The sequence below is a fragment of the Homo sapiens genome, chromosome 6, assembly GCF_000001405.40.
Source record: "Homo sapiens chromosome 6, GRCh38.p14 Primary Assembly".
Classification (NCBI taxonomy): Eukaryota; Metazoa; Chordata; class Mammalia; order Primates; family Hominidae; genus Homo; species Homo sapiens.
This window is the reverse complement of record NC_000006.12, coordinates 96919574-96943188: the sequence shown is the minus strand read 5'-3', so window position 1 is coordinate 96943188 and position 23615 is coordinate 96919574. Positions and strand designations below refer to the sequence as shown.

General features: G+C 40.6%; 1 protein-coding gene across 15 annotated transcripts in view, besides 2 other annotated features; it reads right to left on the bottom strand.

The window, feature by feature from the left end:
- Window positions 1–23615, bottom strand: part of KLHL32 (kelch like family member 32) — a 242671-nt gene that overhangs the window by 197565 nt on the left and 21491 nt on the right. For 13 of the 15 annotated variants that reach the window (NR_136580.2, NR_104421.2, NM_052904.4 and 10 more), the window contains exon 1: window positions 18163–18461. The exons of 1 other annotated variant lie outside the window; for it this stretch is intronic. The gene's annotated coding sequence lies outside the window, so the exon portion shown is untranslated. Of the gene's footprint in view, window positions 1–17727; window positions 17775–18162; window positions 18462–23615 lie in introns of those variants that run through there. One more of the 15 variants, NM_001323252.2, reaches the window with a different exon arrangement.
- Window positions 9549–9749: a silencer, noted in NCBI's record as "peak5969 fragment used in MPRA reporter construct". NCBI's record gives its function as "represses an SCP1 promoter by STARR-seq MPRAs in K562 erythroleukemia cells {active_cell/tissue: K562}" and the evidence as "EXISTENCE:reporter gene assay evidence [ECO:0000049][PMID:32103011]".
- Window positions 18425–18734: a silencer, noted in NCBI's record as "silent region_17409". NCBI's record gives its function as "represses an Ori minimal core promoter by ATAC-STARR-seq in GM12878 lymphoblastoid cells {active_cell/tissue: GM12878}" and the evidence as "EXISTENCE:reporter gene assay evidence [ECO:0000049][PMID:35858748]".

The window sequence follows — 23615 nt, the reverse complement described above, 5'->3', positions numbered from 1 at the left end:
TGTGTATGTATAGGCATGTGTGTGTATGTATGTGTATATATGTGTGTGCATATGTGTCTATATGCTGGTATGTGTATATGTGTATATGTATGTGCATATATGTGTGTGTATGTACAGAGTGTGTGTGTGTGTGTGTGTGTGTGTGTGTGTGTAGAGGGAGCATGAACAATACATCTCATTTCTCTTTTCTCTTTTAGCCTACAGTCCCTCCTCTAAATCTCTAGCCCTGAATGCTTAATTTAATTTTTAACTGTGGCATGTGGGCAAGAGAGAGGTGAACAGGTTGCTACACATTACTCAGGCTTGATCGAAAGCCATTCTGCCGTAAGGAGTGATTCTCTGCAGAATGAGGACAATAAAAAACTAGAGATGGAGGTAGAAAGGGAGGTGGTGGCATCAGAATAACCTGGGGAAAGTCTTTTTCAATCTCTCTATGCTTTCTCCCCTCTCTCTTCTTCCTTGAGAATCAAATATGACCCTGAAGGGATATTCTGAATCACACACACACACACACACACACACACACACACACACCCCACAGCTGTAGCAAGTCACTGTTACTGATTTCCTGAAGTGGGATAAAAGATTGAGGATTTCAATGCTAATGTCCTTTCCAGCCTTAACACTTCAAGACATAGCTTCTATCATTCATATACTTTCAAATTAAGAAAACACACATAAGATAACCAGAGAACAACAAAAGGCAACTCTCCACAGCTAAATGGCAGATTAGATGAAGATGTCTAGAACAAGGGAAATTATTGCATGGTAGAGCTAATCAGGAATGGTTTCATGGAGGAAATGGGTATTGAGCACAGATGGCTTGATGCACAGATTTTGGACTGAGATTGAGGTGAAGAAGCATGTTGGGCATCTGGCAGGTGCGAGGTGGCAGCAGTAGCTGGAAAGGATGGTGAGGGGGACAGCAGTAGTACAGGGGCAGCACCAGTCTGGACTGACCCAGACAAGTGGGGCCAGCAGATCTTGGGCTGCAAAAGGCAGTGAAGCCTAAGCTAACAAACAGTGACTGTGGGGTAACCGCTGGCTGTAAAGCAGGAGAATGTTAGAGCAACACATGTGCTTCAGGGAACTCTTTCAGATCATGGCCCAAGATAGTTAAGAACAGAGGTTTCTAAAGGGGTTCCATAAACAGACCTTACCTAAGTTACTATATATACAGTACATATGCCAGTCTTTTTCTGCATTCTTTCTCTGAGACCATATTCATACATGCATTTTGCATAGGAATAAGGATCTGGACCATTTATTTGATTCTCAAAAAGTTATGGGACAACCACTTCCTGCACCTGACCCCTCATCCCAATTACACACAACAGAGAAAAAGTAAGAGGTCAGAGGAAAGTGTTCCAAATTGTTCTTGGGGGTCTTCTCATTGCTTAGATGGAAGAGATCAGTAAAGGACAAATCAGAGAAAAAAGGCAGCTATGTGACACCAACCCAGGTGATCCTTGTGCAGCAGGGAACCCCACAGAGGCTCCTGAGAGGATACTTTCTCAGGCTCACTTATTCAAGAGATAGCATAAGAGGGGCTTTCGTGGATTACGTGAAGTTGACTACAACATCTAGTCTTACCTTGATTGTTTTTTGGTCATCACATCATATCAAACCTCTTCTGCTTAATAATATCAATGCTTCTCAGAGCTATCATTTCATTTGACTAAAATGTAAGTCACTCAGAAAACTTATTTAAGAATTAAATCAGATTAAGTATGGCTAATTCTTAATGGGAATAACAACAGGTTTTTCAGAAAATACATGATAAGTAAGAATCATGATATCTCTTAAATTAAATATCAAAATGCATGTTTGTTTCACCACTTCCTAGAGAGAAGCCTTAGTATTTGGTAAGAATATTTCTCAAAGTTAATATTTTTGAAACCAGTGTCAACCCAGGTGGAAAGAACAAAATATACCTTTTTCACTATCTTTATTAAAGTAGTGCTGACTTGAACAGGCGAATCATAGAAGTTGTACCTTTTAAAGCATTTTCAAGCAAAATTTATTTTTTAAAATTTCAACCTTGTAAACAAACCCTTGAAAAGACTTGAAAAATTATTTACAAAAGTACAAAGGAAGAAATAATGGCTAAGAAAGGCTAATGAGCTATCAGTGCCACTCTACAGTAAATCCTAAGGTGTTAATTATCTGATTTCCAGGACTATGCACTTCACGTTTCTATTTTTGATTTGTACATTTCACATCATCTATTACGCTTTCCATTCTCTGAATTCCAACAATTTGTGCCTGTGTTAGTGATGCTTACCTTATGCCTACATCACAATTATGGGTGTATTATTGTTATATCTTTTCTCTCGGCTGTTCTATGAATGTATTCAGGGCATGGAGCGCCTCTCACCTCATTTCTATATACAGCATCCAATAACGTCTGCTAAATGAATGACTATACAGCATTTAGAGAGTAAGTACGAATCTTACTACAAAGTCTGGTGTGCAAGAAACTGTTCATTTGCCTGTTTTCTGTAACTCAGCTTATTATCTGTTCTACCAGTTGGGAAGCTCTGCCTTCTTGGGGCTGCTTAAGCAGGGCTATAGTATGGTTCTGGGATTTAATGCAGTGGCATAGTAATGAGGTCTGGGCTGCAGTCTGCCTTTGGTCTCTGAGTCACCATGCATGCTTTATCTTGACCAACATCAAATTCAGTTGCCACTTTCACTCCTCTACATTTTGGATATCAGCAGCATTCTGCATCAGTAAATGCTCTCTCCTTGAATCACACCACTGCATTGGCTTCTAGGATTCCAGTCTCTCCTGGTTTTCTTCCTTCCTCTCTGGCTACACTTATTTTTTTCTCCTTTTTGCTTATCCCTCTCTACCTAATCATTAAGAGCTACAGTTCCTTGAGATTTAATTGATCTATTCTATCCCTAGGCAATTTCAATCTCAATCAAAAATCATATTATGGGTCCAATGTTTTCTATGACCTCCAAACACACAATAACCTATTTGATATCTTCATCTCAACGTCCTAAAGACAGCTCAAATTTAATATTGCCATAATCACACAGTTGTATGGATTAGTACTATAACCCATATAAATGGCACCAACATTAATGCAGTTGTATGGAATGTTACCTTCGCACTTGCAGTTGTATAGAATGACACCTCCACCTACGCCCATGTAGGAGTCATCAGGTTTCTCTTCCCTCACCCTCAATATTCAATCCAGCACCAGGCCCTGAAAATTTTACCTCCTGAGTTGTCCTTAGGCAATTTCTCTCCTTCTCTATTCCCACCTCCCTAGGCTAAGCTACTTCTATGACCTTTGATCTGAACCAGATCAATGGACTCCAGTGCCCTCCTATTCTGATTACTGTTCCCCTGTAATCAGATCTCATCTTAGCCTTCCAGTTCCTGCCACTTCATCATTACAATCATTCCTCAATGGCTTCTCGGCATTTCTGATAAAGATACCTATCTTTATAGGCCTGTGTGCAGTCCTTCTCTACCCGTCCTCCAGCACATTTCCCCCTTCACTGCCCTTGGCTCTCTGCACCCCACTGTGTTGACACTGTGTTTCCTCCTAGAATTTTTTCCCATTACTTGAAACACTCTCCAATCTCTCCATTTTGCCTCACTGATGCCTCATGTCCTTCAAACCCCCTTAGGGAAGGCTTCCTCATCAACCTCCAGAGCAGGTCAAAGCTTCCCACTTTATACTTTTAACAATGCCATGAACCTCTCCTCCTCAGCATTTATTTGTATTGTAATCTCACTCTTAATTGTGAGATCGTGTGATAAATGCTTCCACTAGAGTGTCAGCTCAGAGATGACAAGTTCCTGACTATCTTCCTCACCACTGACTCATCAGCCTTTGGCATAATGCCTGACACTTGACAGATGCCCAGTAACTGTGTGCCAAATAAGCATTCTTTACAGAGTAAAACAGTATTACTGAGAAAACTGGCAATGTTTTTATAAGCAAAAACACCAATGGCAGCTTTAAGAAGCAATAACAACACAGAATACATCAGTATTTTCTAACTTTCATCCTGCAATGACAGAATGGCAGGAAGAGGGGAGAGGCGGGCCATGCAAGCCAATAAGGTGTGGCCCATGTCTCATAGTTGTTTGCTAGCTTTAGAGACTGAGTAATGGAAAATGTAGATGGTGGTCAAAAAAGACTGCCTACATTCACATTACCCTACATCCATAGAGCAGTAATCCTGGGAAGAAAGGCCTGCTGTCCTCAGTGAAAGGGGAGCAGCCATTAGCTTCCTGGGCCCCTGCAGTTCACTTTAGAATATCATAACAGTCAACAACAAAAACGTACTGGGTGCTGAGTCTGTGTCAGGCACTAGACAATGAAACTTACATACATCACTGCATGTGGGTCACATGATTATACTGCAGGGTGGGTGTAACTGTCCCCAGAGCACAATACTGGGGTTCAAAGAAATAAGTAACTTTCCCAAGACCAAATAACTTGTATATGAAAGAACCAGGATTCAAGCTTAGGCCCGTCTATTTCCAAATCCATTCCATCTATGTATCCCCTGCTGCTGCTGCTGCTGCTGCAGGAAGAGAGAAAGGAAGCTACAAGCAGCCAAAGCCCACTGGCTGTGGAGGAGGCCAGTGGCTGGTGAACAGTGTGGTCCACAGGCAGCCTTAATACCACTGGTCATCAGGGAGGACCAGAGCAGTCAGAAGCAGCAACAGCAGCACAGAGAATGCTGATGAGGTATCTGCAGGACACGAGAAGCATGCCGGAAGGTGGAGCCCAGAAGAGAAGGTGTCCACTGTGGGGCCCAGCCCTGCCCCAGTACCACCTGGCCAGGGACCCCAGGACCCTCTGGCAGGGAACAATAGGGAACCTAGTGGAACTGAAGTCTGATCCTGATGCTGGTGAGCCTGAACCACACATTTGTTTTTTTTTCCACTATGGAATTATCTTGTAACTATAACTTCACTACTCTGGTGGCCAGAGACACCCTTGGTAAATATACAGCAAATTTGGAGCTGTGATGCTTTGAGAATGACAGACTTAGGAAAACATATACAGATAAGTTACTGGATTTCTTCAAATAGTCAACTCCTAGGGGCTTTAAGGGTTTTTCTGTTTGTTTGTTTTAAATTATTCATTACTTGACAAAGAGGCTTAGGAATCAGAAATACATAACACTAAAGGTTGTCAAGGAATCAGTATTTCCTGAGAGTGTGTTTATTTACAGAGTCTGAGAAGGAGACACGGTTCACATTGGGGAAGAATTAGAAGGCAGGTGGAGAAATGCTTTTTGAGACCAATCAAGCTATGGGTATTCAAGGGTTGCCAGAAGTTTTTAGAAAGAAGAGTGACATGATGGAAGCCACATCTCTAAAGATATTAGTGACAACAGTCCCTAGGAAGGGATGGAAGGATAAAGAAAGTGGCACAGAGAAGCTGTAAGGAAGCTGAAGGCAGAAGGGCAGCTGTGAGGATGGAGGGTAGAGGGGGACACGGGAGGAAGTGGAAGGAGAGGCTGAGAGCCCCTGATGACTGAATATTGAGGCAGGAGTACACATTGATTCCATGCTCTCCTCCACAACTGAATGAAGAAATCATGGAATCATTCATTAATAGAAAACGTGTGAGGAGTCAGCTCATCTCCCTGAGGGGGACAGGGCAGTGGAGGCACACCCAGAGAACCTCAGGATTGTTGCCCGACAGACACACATGGATGGAGTACAGGCACCCCTACATCTCTCTTCCATTTCTGTCCAATTTCCCCATGTCCTGACGCTAGTTATCTGCAAATAAGTTCACACACACACAAGAAATATGGTAATATCCAAATTTAACAAATATGCAGCTCCTTCATCTTTTGAACCACACATGCTAAGCACTAAGCAAATAAGACAAATATGCCAATGTCTAGAACAGGCAAATGTACAGATGTAGAAGCACAGCAGAGGTTACCTATGATGGAGAGGGGGTGGCGAATAACTGCAAATGGGCATGAGGGAACATTTTGCGGTGACAGAAATGTTCTAAAACTGGATTGTGTTGGTGGCTACAGAACGCTATACATTTGCTACAAACTACTGAACTGTACACAGTTACAATGGGTGAACTTTAATGATATGTAAGTTTTCCCTCAGTAAAACTTTTTTTTTTTAATCGATAAGAGCTGTGGGGAAAAAAATACAGGGTAAGATGAATTGAGAGTGAAGGGGTTGGGGTGGTGGGCAGGTTGTAATTTTAAGCACAGTGATCACAATGGACTTCATTGAGAAAGTGACATTTGAGCAAAGACCCGAAGGAGGTAAGACAGTGGGCCTGCGGGTAGGCAGGAGGCAGGGCATTCCAGGCCGAGGGTATTACCAACTGTGAGACACCAGTTCTAAGGCAGGAATGGGCAAGGCAATGGGAGATAAGAGAGGGATAGATGGTATACAGGGTCTGGTTCTTGGGATGGAAGCTGCTGCAGTTTTAGGCAAAGAAATATAGCCTCATTCAGGTTTTAAAACAAAATTTTTGGCTGCTGTGTGGAGAAGAGTCTATAGGAGGCAAAGAAGACCTTCTGGGGATCTGCTGCAATGATTTAAGCAACAGGTAATGTTGACTGGGACAAGAATGGTAGTGGGAAGTTGTGACATATGGTCAGATTCTGGGTATACTTTGAAGGTAGAGCCAACAGAATTTCCTGACTGTTTGGATGTAAGTTGTGAGAGGAAGAAGCTAAGGATGTTTCCAAGGTTTGGGTGCTGAACAACCAAAAATGGAGAGGCTCTGGATGAGGTAGGCTTGAAGGAAAAAAAATTGTAAAGCATGTATAGGGAACTATGCTACTATGTTCTATGTGCCAAATCATTTCACTTTCTTTGGGTGAGTTTTTAAAAGGCTTCCTTCACTATAAGGTAGGTTTCCTTCCAATATATTCATTAGTTAAGATACTTTAGAGAAATGAACGGCCATGCAAAATGTAGACATGTCTATTTAAAATCCTGATTCTTAGCATTCTTTATCCTTAGTCATTGGATTATGGAATATCTCATTTTCTTATAATTTCTTAATTATATTTCTAGTGACATTAGACTTAGCCTGCCTATAAAGGTCCTACTGCTGGCCCCAGCTGACCAACAAAAAGTACAGTGACACCAAAGGCAGTCAGTCACTCCTGAGTGATTCTCTTAAAGGGACAGGCTGAGCTGAGAAAAGGCCCAATCAATGTTGGGATACAGTAATAAAACCCGTGTCCTATCACAGAGCAAATTCAAGAAGCACCACATAGAAGGACCAAAATTCAAAGCCAATCTCTCTTAAGATTTATTTCTCCTTAGGAGAAACTGTGAAGAGATGGAGTAGAAAAAGGTCATATTATTGCATAGAGATTTAAATAAATATGTACTGTCATTTCCTGATGTAAAACAGAGATTTTCCTTTCTTTTAATTCTAAATTTACATATATTTTGTTCCTTCTTATTTATTCTGCACATTTGGTCACTGGACTTCTCTATGCAGTCATTATCATTAATACACAAGTTAGAAATACACATTAGACTCAGCAGCTGTGCCCAAGGCTATTACTCCCTATAATTTGGCACAGATGGCCAAAAAGATAATTTTGGCTGGATGGCCCAATACTAACCACCTAATGAGGCTGCAAGTTCAAAATCAATTGATGATAGACGCGGTTTCACAGTTAGTGTTCCCTCTTTTCTCCCAGACCCCTCCTCTTTTCCTTCACAAAAAAGGCAGAAGAGTCCAACCAAAATCTAATTTGCCGAAGTTCCACAGACAGCATTTACCTTACTTTATGGGGGGAAAAGGTAACTCAATAAAACAATTCTAGTCCTGAAATGGTCATTCTTCAGGTCAAAAGACTTTTTCTTCAAGTCAAAATATTATTAAGTATTAAAAAGTTTCCTGCAATAGGAATTGAGCAGGTTTGTACCTAACTCAACATCAGGGAAGCCATCACAATAGTCAATAATAATTAAATTACCATAGACAGGCAAACCTAAGTATGATGTCTGCCTTTCTCTCAGCTAGTCACACACCACAAAATGAATTCTCTTAAAATTACAATTAAGCAACATCCTGCCATGCATAACCTTGATCATTTTTGTAGATGTCGGCAATTCATTTATGCCTTCCAAGTTGTCTAATGGCAAGGTTTCTTTTTCTTCTTATCTGTATACTGGTGCTTAACAATTGCATATCTCTTCAAAATGCCTAATATTCAAAAGCACATTTTGAACTCTCGCAAAAATAAAGATCAAGCTACAATTTGAAACTGTAGTCTCTCTGCTCCTCATATCGTGCTATATCCATACTATCCTGCAGCAGTTCACTACTAACCTGTTAATCAATGACCCATAAGATTATATCCACAGTGGAAATGGCATTCTCCAGTTGGCTTACATAAAGCCATGTAATCACTATCAATGCTCTAAATCTAAAAAGTATAAAATTAAAAAGTATTTAGTTTTATCTTATGCAGAAATGTATGTTATTAATCAACCGAGCTACCATATGGACAACTATGAGGATATTAGCTGCTCTCTGCAGCAATCCGCCTAATTAGTTATACACAAATTTTAGTAGAAAATGATAACCTCTGTTTCAGTAGTAAAGATGTTAATCACACATCAAGACTTCTACCCAGACAGGGCACCTGGTTGGTAGAGAATTGTTTGTGTTGTTTAAATGTCCACTGAGTATCTGGAGAGCACTGACATCAGAACTGATTTAACTTGCTATTTTTTTGTTGTTGTTGTTAAGTGTCAATGACAAGAAAGCTGAGGCCCAGATCCAGATGGCCTGGCTGGTCCTCGGAAGGTAGGAATAAGAAGCAGAGTGTGAGCAGCTCACTGCACTCTAGACCACATCTCCCAAAGTAGACCTATCACCATAATTACTCAATGGGAGTTTCTTAATACACAAATGACTCAATACTAATGCAGATTCTCACACAGTAAGTATAGAAGATCCAGTAATCTATATTTTCGAAACAACCTCAGGTCATTCTGAGGACCAGCCTTGTTGCAAACCTCTAGAGTGCACGTATTTGCAGGACAGTGGTAAATATATGATTTTCTGACGCAAGGTCCTACAATGCCCAGTCAAAAGCAGTATCAGAGCACTCTTAATACAAACAAAGCACTTAACATATCTAATTTTATGTCATGGATGACAATGTGAGAAAAGTGAGATTATCTGTGTTATCCCAATTTATACAGGAGACTTAGGCACAGAGTTCTGAAGTCAAGGTCACTCCTTACAGAGTGAAAACTCAAGGAAACTGATTCCACCTGCTTTTGCTCTCCCAATCCACTTACTGTGTCAACCCCTAGCCTAACTGTAATCCACAGAAGCAATAACAGTGAGAGATTTTCAGTACTGATCTGTGACTCAAGCCACCATGAGTGACTGCTGCCTAAAGAAAAGGCCTTATTAACCCTGGCACTGTCCTTAGGAGGTCTCAAAACTGGCCAAGGAGGGACATGTGGCTGGCTCCTGGGAGATGACCCTCTGTCCCAGCTGAGATACTGGTGGGTGCTATTCCACCACATAGAAAGACTCTCTCCTGAAACTGTCAATATGCTTCCATCCCTGAGGTCAACCATGAGGCTCCAGATACAAAGGGGAAATGAATCACATCTAAGAACTAAGGAAGTTCTTGAGAGCAATGATAACCTGTGTTTCTTAAACATCTTGGTCAACAGTTGGCCACTGATGTGAAGGGCTCACTTAATGTTGAGAGGCAAGAAGTCTTCTTCCAACCTTGCCTTGTCCCTGCATCCAACAAAGGAGTCTTACACCAATAGCTGCTGACTGAGGCACTCTAAGTTTCCACATGAACAAAGAATGGATGGCAACGGAATTCTGAAGCAATCACAGGATATAAATCTCCCAAAAGAGGTCCAAGTAGAGGAAGCAGAATTCCAAGAATACAGTGCCCAAAAGGAAAAATTCAGTAATCAAGGCACGTGTTTTGAGGGGTAAGGGAATTTCATCCCTTACTGGGTCCAGGAGTAAAATATGTCGTTGTTTTCAAAGGCGTTATGTTGGGGTGATGCTCCTGCACAGATAAACCATGTAACTAATTCATCCTGTCCTAATTCCATGCTAGTGAAATCCTTAACCACTAAACCCTTAACCACTAGGAAAATGATGTGCTGGTCAAAGAATTCCACCCACATCTGCAAACCCCTTGGCAGTTACATATACAGAATATATTAATATTTGATGTTAAAGCAATTAACAAAATGTAATGACAATAATTAATTGCAGGCTTCTGATGGCTAACATTGATAAAAACAGCATGAAACACAGAAATCAAAAATTGGCAACTTGGTAAGGTACAGTGGCTCAGATCTCTAATTCCAGCACTTTGGAAGCCCAAGGTGGAAGAATTGCTTGAGCCCAGGAGCTCGAGACCAGCCAGGGAAACATAGTGAGACACCCATCTCTACAAAAAAATTTTTAAAAATTAGCTGGGTGTGGTGATACACACCTATAGTTCCAACTACATGGGAGACTGAGGTGGTAGGATTGCTTGAGCCCGGGAGATTAAGTCTGCAATGAGCTGACTATACCACTGCACTCCAGCCTGGGTGACAGAGCGAGAATCTGTCTCAAAAAAAAAAAGGGGGGGGGGGAAATTGACAACTTTGTGAAACAGTACAAGGTGAGAGAAGGGAAACATCAGAAAACCCTACAAATGACACTAAGACTCACAAATCTTAGGGATTTCAGAAAAAAGTCAAGTTAAATGCTATATAGAAAGGCCTAAGGGCTGTGCATGAGTTTCTTAAATGACTTTTGCTCTATTAGGAGGCCCCATCTGTAGGTGATCTTGAATACCTCCAAGAAATGATAAATAGCTTTGGCCCAAAGCTAAAGAAGATAAGCTATGGCAAAATTAAATCAGATTGTAGGTAATTAATGTTTTCATGGAAAAAAAAAACATTGATTCCATATTTCTTTAGGCTTTGAAATCTCAAAAAAAAAAAAAAAATAACCCAGTCAGTTCTATCAGCTCAAGGACATCAGGCTAGGAAAGACTAGTGAATCTTTATGCAGCCAAAGGGGCATCTGATTACATCTACACCACTGCCTATCACAAAACAGTATTTTTTTTAAGAGAAAGTCTCCTTTCAGAAAATGTCAAGCAGAGTAGATGAGGAAACAAGTGAACGAGAGACTCTATCAAAATAAATCTCCTCCACTCAGATATCCATATTAATTATGAACCTAAATTTCCAAAATAATAACCATAACTATTGCTTGGGGAGTAGTTTAGAATAAACTGGTATCTTCACATTTAGAGTAGGCTTTTTTTTCATAATGATTTTGTAACTTTGCTGGTCTGTGAATGTGATGCAGACAAAAGACTTGGCACTGATGTCATCTCGGCTACCATATTTTTCAGCTGAGAATCTACATCTCACTATAATCAATCTCCATTACAAAACATTTTTTACCATATTCTTTTCTGGAGCTATAAAGAAATGAGTAAAGGATTTTCTGTCTTTAACAATCACTAAACTTGTCTTTCTTATTTTAGGTATCTCAAGTAATGTTACCAACTAGTAAAAATGCATCTGAATTATGAAATTGCACTATATCTTTAGAAATATTGAAATATATAAACATATGCATACATCCATACCAGGTATAAGCAGAACACATTTAGCACAAGAAAAAGTATTTTATTTAAGGACAGGCTTTATAATCCATTGTATGATGAAAACAAAGCTTAGCTCAGTCTATGGGATCCTACAATATACTGCTCAGGCTAACTTCCTATGTGGTAGGCTGCTAGCAGTTCCTGCTGCTGTCTAGGTTCTTCTTAAGCCCATGAGCCGGGGGGTGACTTTGAAAAGAGTCAGGCCATACTAATCTCATGTGCACTCCTGGGTCATCAGAAATCCACATGATATTTCAACACAGAAGAAGGAGTTGCTGGTGGGAACAGGGAATGAGTGAGGTCGTGGTGCAGAGAAAAAGAAAAAAACATAGATTTAACTAGAAAGTATTCTGTTCGGGAAGATTTTAATCCTATCTGACTTGAAAGAGAATTTGAGGAGTGTTTTTTGTTTGTTTGTTTGTTTTTTATCCTGGTGAGCTTTTGACCTTTTCATAAAATTTACATAATTCAGCATGAAGGGAAACTTCTAGTTGTCAAGAAAGATGTGGGCTCTAGAAATTGACCTTGCAGAAAGGCTAGGAGGTCTGTACCCGCCAGGTACTTGATGCTGCCACTATTAATTCTACAGAGAACACAAGGGGCAGCTCTGTGCTTTTTGCAGATGTGGACCCCTGAAGAGATCCTATGATAGAGCCCAGAGAGCTGCCTGGGTAGGAGGAAACTGACTGACCCTCCCTCCTTTTCCTTGTGACCAGGCCGATGCTCCAGGAGCTGCATAAAAGAGGGAACAGTGGCTTGTCAGAGAGAAAAGACATCATTGAGTCCAAGCTATGCATCCCTCTCCCTGGGAGAGCCCATCTAAGCAGCGTACTGCATCACTAAAAGCTCCATAGCATAATGAGGGTAGCTCTGCTCCAAGGTCGGCACACCAGATTAAAACATTTTATATGGCTCAGGAAATTTAAATGAATTCCACCATCATTTTGAGGAAGGCAAAGGAGTGGGGAAAGGGGAGGCAGAGGGAAGGAATTAATAAGTACTGAGATTTTATTACACACCAACAATGTACTAGATGTTTCTATGCATTTCTTATTTAATCTTAAAACAACTCCATAATCTAGGTAACATAATTCCCATTTTACAGATGAGGAAAATGAGAGTTAGAGGGGATATGTAACTGGACTGTGAGTCACAGAACCAAGAAGTATCAGATTTAGTATTCAAATCCAGGCTCCAAGGCTCAGGTTCTTCTGGTTGTGCCATGCTACCTTGCACTTTCAATTGTAGAACTAAAAATCATAAATAATAAGGTTTCTAAGTAATGATTTTAAATGAGGTATCAGAATTTGTGTCATAAAAAATTGCAAAATGCCTCCTCCACTGCTCTATTGTCTGTGCCATTAGCATCAAATATGTTCTCACTGAAGCAATCAGCTAGGATGGGACTTCTTTTTCCATCAATATCTTGTATAACAAACGGGTTGTATCATCTGGGTGGGGAAGGGAGGGGGTAGCCTGCTTCTAAGTAACTGGTACTGGCTTATCTGGCATGGAAAGTAGAATACATTATGCCTCAAATAAACATGTAGGAAAATGTTGTCAAGAGTCCATGAAAACTGCCAAAGACATTTCTTCTTCATTTAAAAATTATCTTATCAGGTTGGTGACTCCAACCTTGCAAGGGAAGAAGCTATTTTAGACAAATTTACAGCTTTCAATGCTTTCTGCCATATGTGGAACTAATCTGACTCCAAGTCAAGTCTGCAAAACTGTTTTTTTTCCTACATAGTTCGTTTAAAAATCTCACCAAAACTTATAGTGCCATATGTCAAAATCAAGTTAAATTAAATACATTAATGCATTGCAATGTGTATACGAAATAGGGAAAGAACAAAAGAAATATGAAGAAAGTTGAGCATTTCACATTGCTCAGCTCCTCTTAGGTAAAGATCTTGACAAGAAGGGCCTGGGAATGAAGGTTCTGATTAGAAATGCCAGGAAAAAGGTGAACAAAATGAATTCTATTTACTAATTCTCAACAACAGAGAAAGTAAAATGTTCTAGGATAAATTCTTAAGTTCTGCTCTACAAATTGGAAAACAATTCTGAAATAATAAGCAGTCTTATAGGCAGAGAAGGGAAGTAAGACACTGCCTGGCACAGAGACATAGCCACATCTATCTCTGCTGTCACCAAAAAGCCCCTTGCTTATTAAGAAAGATGGGCTCCTTACAGTATCATTTTTTCATAATATTTTCCATTACTTGCCAAATATATCTGTGAAGAGCAAATCATCATATTGGCTTATATTGTACTTGATAGGAATTAAAATCCCTCCAACTTTAAAGTAAATTCCTGTCATGACAAATATCCCCAGTGCTAGACTCTAGCTATGACGCCTTCTATTTTATTTCATCCTGTTACCTTGTGCTGAACATTCTAACAGGTAGCTCTCCCACCCAGTCACTGAAGATCTAGTAGTTAAATGCAAGTCTAACTCCCACTTGCTTGTCACATTTCTTTCATATCTCTACTGATGTAATAAATAAAAACATTGACCCAACCAGGATCAAGATTATAGTACATTTATCTGTCACCAAAGCCTTCTGTCTAGATTTGAGTACAGCTTTTCAAATGGTTTACAGCCCACATTTTTCCTTTACTTGTCCCAAACATATAAGACTTCATCAAAAGTATATGCAACCTTAAAATCTGTATCTGTAAGAGCCTCCTTAGCCTCCAAGTCTATGACTCTACTAGAAAAAAACGATTACATCTTTTATCATCTAATTTGCCAGAATCTTTTCCCATTTTTGAAAATCCATATATTTACCCACTCCAAATGAATTCATATAAAACGTGTATGCTTTTTCTATAGAAAAGTGATATCATGAGAGGAAATTATATACCAGCCATCAGACATTAAAAATGTAGACACATCATCATGGTTTATGGGTATTTATTGTGTGCCAGTCTCTGTATAGAGAATATAATACTTGGTTTGTCCCTTGACTTTATGTTCAGTCTTTAGAAGAATCAGTACTACATTCTCCAGATTCTCCTCTATGGCTACAACTCCTCTCCTAGTCTCCTTCCCAAATTTGTCTTCCTCCATCCCCTCCCACCCATCCGCAGTTGCATCCTCTGCTGCACTCCATCTTCCAGACCATAGTTCTTCCACAGCTTTCATCACTCGCTCAGCTACAGTAAGCTCATCAATATTAGGTATCACTAGCATCATCCTCTTAACCCACATTTCCAACAGACTGTCTGGTGGAGACTCCCATCTTTCAATAGCTATAAGGATTTTCATTTAATATAATCATACCCAGCCATCAAGTTCCAGCACTAATCCCCCTACTACCTAGGGACTGACCTGATCTCCACAATCAGAACATTTAAAATTTTTTCCCTGTGTCTGAGCTTCTATGGAATCTTATATTTCCATTGTAACATTTAACACATAACTCCCTCAAAATCACAATTATGTACATGTCTATAACCTGCATTAGGTAACAGTTGAGAAGAAGGAATGTGAAAAGAGAAGAGCAGCTGAAGTTGCAAGATTTCTTTCATTGCTCCAATTGGACTTCACAGTCTTAGATCCTCCATCTGTAAAATGGAAATAAGATGCCCACTTTATAGAGTCATTGTGAAGCCGATATGGAAGTAGCTTGCTCACAGAAGAGCTCGAAAAGTGGACGCTGCCAGGAGCAGTGTGTTTGCTCTGAATCATTGAGGGCAGAGACGGTATCTCCATGCACTCAGCCAGGACTTTGTTAGAACATTACTAACACACACCTGCATAGCTCCTTACTAGAGGTGCAACATATTTCCATGAAAGGAAAACTGAAATGGCTTTATTTACTGTTAAGGCATCTTTCCAGAGGGGGATTTTGGAATAAGAGAACCATGAGAAGTCGCTGTTCAAATCTTTTGGCTTTTCCTTTTAACTACACCTCTCTGGATCCACCAAAGAGACAATGTAAATAAAATGACACTCCTCTCTGACTACTTACCTACTTCAGTGAAGTCCACTAGCATCTCTGTAGCTCTAGGAGAAACACGAGAAAATGGCAGCTTCTCAAGACGTATTTACCTCACTACAAGATAGTTATTAAAGGAGTAAACATTTTGTATACCAGGGTGCTGGGATTTAATGTCTCTGAGTTCCCACTTATGTTTTCATTCCTTTGGCATCTTGCAGTATTCAGTGGTGGGTTTTACCTAATTATCTAACACTTTAATCAGACATTTTCATTAAAGGCTCAGGATGCTCCATTTGCTGACCAATCCTACGTCTTCCTATAACAAGCACTCAACTGAGTTTTTCTCCACTTCTTGGCCTTATGGCAAGAAAAAAAACATTAAGCCAGGAACATAAGTTCTAAACTATATATGCTTTTGTTTCACCAGATTCAAAAATTCCTATTTTAGAGCACTTCATGGTCTTTTATTTTCTGAGATATAAGACAGAGATCTAGAAAACCTCAAAAAATTTTTGAACCTGTTTATTGAAAAACAAAGGTAGAGCATTTATTAGACTTTAATATTGAAATAAAAAACTGATCACTCACAATGATGGATGTATTTTTTCACATCAGTATTTTGTTAGAGAATACTAACTTATAATTGAGTGAGACATCAGTAATTATGGGTTGCTAACTAGCAGGCCACAGGCTAGATATGACCCAGATACAATTTTTAATGTGGTCCTTACAGTTTTTAAAATTAAGGATACCTCATAAAAAAAATCCAGAAGCTTCTGTTTTCCTTAAAAAACTGTCATGTTTTAGAGCCTGGACAGTAACAATCGGCTACAGTGGAGTGGGAGCTGCCTCCTTTACAGTGGTTTGCAAGTTCCAGAGGCCACAGTTCACACTCCACTCCCTACCCTCTCTCCCACGTGTCTTGTCTAGGCCTGCTCCACTCCTTTATCTCACTTGTCAGATCCCTGCACACATCTGAAACGCACACACAACTTTTTTTTAAAGGCAAGGAGACTGGATCCAGAAAGGGCTTCCCCATTCACTAGCTGTGACCTTCAGCAAGGTTTGAGTCTTGGGTTCCTCAGCTTTAAATGGAAGGTAATTTATTGGCCTCAAAGGGTTGTTGTGAGGATTAAAAAAGAAGTATATGAAAAGTGCTTTCTACACTGTAATGTAAAATGTTTGTCATCATTCATCTCCCAAAGCTCTGTGAATTGCATAAATCCCCTCTATCTACCTCTGTCATTATTTGGCTTACTTGCTCCTCACATTATTTATTACACTCTCTATGACAGAGTTTAAAATCTAAATTAGAAGAATTTGACTTATTTCCTTGGGTCATTTAACAAGAAGTAGAAAAGATGAACAAATATCCAAGGAAAACAAAATTAATTCTTGAATGCCAGTGGATCTTTACTGGGCCATTTGTTTGTGATGGAGGCATGAAATTCGTGCAAAGTGTAATTACTGGATTGCTGATGCCTTCAAGTACTGTGTTACAAGTTCACCCAATAGACACCCGAGACCTCAAAATAAAACAAAACTGACAGCCCAGGTATTAGGCTGACCTGTTCCATTGGCCTATCAGTGTTCCAGTAGAGGACCCAGTCCCATCAGAAAAAAAACAAAAAGCAAAAACCACTGCACTTTCATATAAGCTCTAGTAAGCCATGGCACACATTTTATATCTATCTCTATCTGTGTATAGAGATAGATCTAAAAATAATCAATAAGAGATTTTTTAAAAAACAGAATCTTCTCAGAAATGAGCAGAGGTGCAAAAAACTGCGCTTCAATACTGATGCAGGGGATATAAAAATGCTAGCAAAGATGTATGTCATGAATGCTACCTTCTTACGTTACGAATTCACAAACGTATTCCTGTTCTGGTCAATTTACAATAGAAGCTCATTCTTGTGTGGGGAAACACAATTAAATCATCTGCTTTTAATTTAAAATAATCACGACTAAGTGAACTGCAAAATAAAACTGGAAATAGAGGGGAAGAAGGGATCTAAACTGCAGTCATCTTTCTTTATAAGATCACCAAAATGGGAGTAAATTATGATTCAAGACACAATCCGTTGAAAAATTCATCTGACGAATCCTTTTTAAAGCATACCATATAGTGCAATTACGGCTTTTCTTGAAGTTGAATGAAACCGCCACCTGAATACAGATTAACAAATGCCAAATTACGAAAGGTCCTCAGTGTATATTTTATTTTAAATATCAAAATAAATAACGGCATCATTTAAGAAACCAGTTCTTTCAATAGATGTCCCACGGCTGATGTTTAAGCAAGTCTCCTTGGCAACCAAGGAGCACAGTACATATTGGGCTCAGGGGGAGGGAAGAAAGGGGGAGCGACTCCAGGGCTGGCAGCATAAGTAACCTGAGTAGTGGCTGCTCCCGTTAGACGACACGGGCAGAGGCTGCATGGGCTGCAAGCCCCTGAAATGTCAACTCCGGGTCTGCCCCCACTTGGCGCACCAGCAGCCTCCCACCCTCTTCCTCAGGTCTGCAGAACAGGTTACAAGGAGAGAGACTGGCTTACCCGATGGGGTGAGCGGTCTGCTGGGTTAGGTGCCAGAGACGGCAGCGCAGGCACCGGCCTCTCCTTGATGCACAATGGCTCTGCTTCGCCCCACGATGCTGAGGTTAACAGAACCCGCAGTAGCTTCGCTCTGCTGGTTCGGGGATGCAGTAGCGAAGACGAGCGTCCTAGCGTGTTTGTGTGTGCGAAAGTGTGTGTGTGTGTGTGTGTGTGTGTGTGTGTGTGCCTGCGTGCGTGTGTGCGCGCGACTGCCTGCGCGCTCCCGAACTGTCGCGCGGGGAAACTGCTCCCTAGTAAATAAAAAGCCCTAGCCAGCACTGCAGGTGGCACGTCCCGCTGACTCCGCCCCAGGCGGTCGCGTCAGACTGGAGACGCACCTTGGCACCCCCGGGGCGGGTTCAGACGCCACAGGGCTCCGCCCCCTCCCGCCTCCAGCTAGCCCGCGCGCTCCCTCCCCCTCCCCCGCGATCCCGCGCACATCCTTTCGCCACCCCGCGCGCAACGCCACCGCCCGCCGCCAGCGCGCTCGCTCCCCTGCCGCCCCCCGCCCCCGCCCCCGCCGTCGGCGAGCTGCCAGCGCGCGCCCGCCGGTCCCGGAAGTACCCTCCTCCACGCCGCCCTCCTCCTCGCTCTCCGGCACCTGCGTCGCCGGCCCCTGGGTCACATGCGCAGTCTGTAGCCACCACTGCGGCGACTGAGACCCGGGAACCCAGCCTGCTCGCCCCCAGACTCCTTTCCCAGGGCTGGCGGGCAATCTGAGCAAACAGACCCCGTGGCCCTAACTCGGTGTTCCAGGGAGTCCTTGCTCTGCTAACTTGTGAAGTTCAAGTTGCCTCTAGTCCTAGCGGCCCTACAGTGGCCCTCCTTAGGATAATACACTCTATGGTACTGACCAGAACAAATTCACAGTAACTTTAAGAAACGTCAGGGGAACCAACCCGCCAGAGGTGGACGAAATCCCCAAGCCTGAGAAATGAGAAAGGGTGTGATTACTGTGGTTACTACTAATTCAGCAATAAAACCGCAAACAGACAACAACCACAGAACCATACCATTAAATTCCAGGGCCTGGCACACTCAAGTGCCACTTCCGAGTCATTCAGGTCACTCCTGTGTAAAACATGCTGAGAAACTCACACTAAAGCAAAGTGGGTAATTTTAATAGGTAAGTATTCCACCACCGAATTGAAAACCTTAGTCCAACGTGGAGGTAAGACACCAGAAGCAGGAAGAGTGTAACTAAATTGGAGTAAACTGTATTTTGTAGAAGTTCAGGATTTAACTTACTGCAAAGATAGTATGTTAATCCTATTTCTTGCAGGTTTATGTTCTGCCACAGAGTTGGGCTAGGAACAGTGCCCTGATCTATTTTGAGGTGTCCTTAATGTTCTCATTGGTCTCAAATCAGTGGTTCAGCGATTATTTTCTACTTCTAGATCCACAGGATTTGGGGGTTTATTCGTTTGCTCCCTCTGGAGGTTATCTGTCTGGCTTGTAGTGCTTCATTTTCATGGTTTTGATATCTGGACGCTAGGATGCTGGGTACCTACTTATCTAGCAGTCCTGGACACAGCATAGGACAAGGGAAAGAATGACAAACAACTGACTACAAACATTAGGTGCAGTGTCATCCTAAGAATTTTTCATAAGCAACTTGATAGTTTTCATTGCGTTGTCTTCTATCAGAAAATCGAATATGAAAGCGTCTTTGAACCAAAAATATTGACAGTGACTGGTATCAATAAATAAAACAGTCCTTTAAGATCCCCAAGGTGTTTGTCACTAAAGTGAGAATACTTAAAATTTTAAGCCCATCTATATTGATTGGATTATCTGTTTAGAATAAATAGCAGCTATTTATTTAGTATAATTAAATAGAGCAAAGACTATAATTGCATTTACACAGGAAAAGAATATTTACACCACCAACTCACCATCTGTGTGACTATGGAAGAGTCTCTTACTGCCCAAGCTGAGTGTCTCAGGGTATCTCCTGGCCCTAGCACAATGTCTGCCACATAGTATCGGCTCACTAAATATTGTTCATTGACACATGGCGTTGAGGTTTAAATGGTAAATGCCTAGTAAAATGTCTAGTTCAGAGAGGGCAAGATTTTCCTAAATGGCTCCTTAGTATTGATTTAAAGTTTATATTTTGTCTTAAGTATTTTATTTCTCTAAAATAAGAGACATTAGTTTATTCAATAGCCACCAAAATTCAACACAAACATATGTTGCAGTTTACTCCACTCCTAGAGGAGCAACTAGGTGTTAGGCACCATTTCTCTCTTAGGTACCATTATATATAGTCTTTCTCCTTATTAAGAAAATGACTTAAAATAATACTTCCCAAAAGCTGTTTTTTGGAATACTTATTATTTGTTCAGCAATTTTTTGAGCTCCTAGAATGTGTTAGGTGGTATAATCCATGTAGGTCTTTTAGTTGTCAATAAATATACATTGTTCCTGTTTCAATCTAGTGATGTTATGAGGGATGAGCTGAAGAAGATTTTTTTTTTTTAAAGTGTGAGTCTTTGGTTGCAACTGAAAACTCTCTGCCTAATTTAGGCAAGAAGGAACTTAGTAGAAGGATATCAGGAGCTCTAAGAATTGATGGGAAGCCTAGCTAGATACCCAGGATAGAAAGCCAGCAGGAGAACTCCAGAGGGCACAGAAGCAGTGACAACAGGATAATATCAGGACAGGAATGTTATGAGATGGTGTCTTCCATTGCTGAAATGGGTGAGTCCCAATTGATTGCTCTTTGTACTCCCAGTTGTAGTCTGCAGCTTCCAGTTGTTTTAGCCTGGAGCATTGGCCTGTCCCTCAGTTGTGGTAGTGTGGGACCCCTGCTCATAGCCCCACTAGATATAAAAAGAAAAGTGGACACTGGGTGGCTGGAAAATAGCATATATTCACTATAGGAAATTGGGTGCCAGGTCAAATGAGTTGGGGAAACACTGAAAACTAGGTTCATGTCACATTGGTATATTAAAGACTGAGGTCTTACACGAAAGAAACCTCTTTCACTTTCTTAAACAAGTATCCTAGAGTTTGGTTGAGTAGGTAACACTTTTTTGTTTTTCTCAGCTTGCCTCTTAATATACTTTGATAAGCATCTTGGAACACAAGTTTCTGCAGCATTTTTTTCATCTATCATCAGCTTGTCCATGAGCCAAGATATAGGAGGGTAGCATAAATCTAGTGCTGTGAGTTTTTATAAAGTCTGTATTCTAACAGCTCTGGAAGAATCAGATTTGAAACTGTCTCTACACAGATCAGATTTCTAGCTAAAACTACATCATGAAAGAGAGCTATGTCATAGTTCTTTGTTCAATTCCTGATAGCTGCCTCCTCCCGAAGCAAGTAAGGAGGAAATTGTCATTCTTAATGCCAGTGTCGTGGTTTTCTGTCACAAACCAGTAGTGACATTAAGGAATCACTGAGCCATATTTCTAATTACTGTACTACTCAAGAGAACAGAGCAGCATTAATTATGCCAAAACCAAAATTGATTTTTGGCTGATGTTCTCTAGTTTTCAAGTGGATAACACAAAACAACTCTAGCTAACACTTAGCTTTACTCAATTACCTATGGGTACATTTTGTAGCTAATTCATCCTATTCATCAGGAGCCAGCGCCAGTGTAACTCAAAACTAGTGCCACAGGAAACTTTTTACTGTTAAACTATTTCATGTTTACATTTTCTCTGCCACATTCTGTGATATCAAATGCTGTTGTTGTTTTCAGTCTAATTCAACATAATCAACTAGTCACATGATGGGAGCTTTGTAAAAATTTACAGTGCTGAATAGAAAATAGCCCCTAACTGTAAGAAAGAATATCGTAATTACATAATTAAATAGGTTCAACAAAATATAAAGAGGATTCTTAGTCATCATTAAGATAAGGCAGATTTAAAAATAAATTGTAATTTTCATGTATCAGATTGGCAAAGATTATAAAAAGATTACAATACCTAGTGCTACAGAGAATATGGGTAAAGAAGAGCTTATGAGAATCCAAGTCAAAAAAATATTTTGGAAAACAACTTGTCAATATTTACATTCATTATTTTTTTCTTAAAAGCTCATACTTTTTGGTCCAGTAATTCCAATTCTAAGAATTCATCCTAGGGTTACCTCAAACAAAAGTTCAAAGACTTATGTGAAAGGATACTCATGATAGCTTGGTAATATTTGAGAGAGAAAAGGGGAGGGAGAAGGGAGAAGAGAGACAGGGACAGAGAGAACTAAAGGTCCATCAGTTGGGGACCAGTCAAATTATGAAGATACCAAGTAGCCATTTAAAAAACAGATTAGATCCTTGCAGACTGATATCAAAGCTATATCACTAAGTGAAAAATGCAAGTGGAAGATCAATAGGTATAATGTGATGCAGTTTGTGTAAAAGTAGAGGAAGAGAAGGAGGGAGATGTGTGTGTGTGTGTGTGTAATTGTGTGTGTTTTTCCATTTTACTGGCTCAGGAGGAGAGGGGTGAATCTGAAGCTGGCTCTGTTCAGTGCCATACACATCAAGGTGCTGGACCTTCCATGTCACCTCAGTACCATCGATGCTGTGTGTCACTCTCTAACCTGGGGAACTCACACATGTCCTAGGCCATCAAAAGGTCAGGATAGGCCCCTCTTAGGGCACATATTCTCTCCTCCTGGATTTTGGAAGGTGGAATGCCATGGAAAGGAAAACTAACAGTTGTATAGGTCTTAGTTGAATGAAGACTCAGTGCCAACAGGTCCTGGAGGTGACCAGCAGTGCTCATAGTGTTAGAGGATGGTGTCTGTGATGCCAACTCTGCTCTCCAAGGATTTTCCTTGACCAGGTCCCTTTCCCTGACCATGTTCCCTTACTGAGTAGTCATGATCTTCCCATCATCCCAGCCCAGGGAAGCCTATCCAGTCCTCCCAGTTAGCAAGATTCACTCTTCCTCATCGGGTTTTTTTCCCTGAAACTCTTTCTGTTCCTGTGTAAATAGACCCTGCCTTTCCACTGAGGACTGGCCTTTTGAAACTCATTACATCAAGAAGCAAATTCGGTTGGTTGATTGGTTTTCTTAACCTGTGGTCTCTAATGTTATCCCTCCACTGAGGCAAGTTTTATAAAATGCCTACTTAGTTGAATGGGCAAGAGCCCAAGTACGAGAAAACACCAGGAACCAAAGGCATATCAGTTATAGCTAGAAATATCTTAAGTAAGCAACTTGATTTTCTCTGAAAAGGGGGATGATGTGGCTCTTTTATTTTTCATTTTCTACCTTTCTGTACTGTTTATTATTTTTATGATGAGCATGAATAATATTTATATTAAAATACATTAGTAAATTAAAAGCATTACTTTTTAGAATCAATTTATAAAAGTGGCTATTATAACACTTTTAATTGCATTATTGGAAAATAATAAGCATCACAGTCAGAAAAAAAATTGCTTAAATATT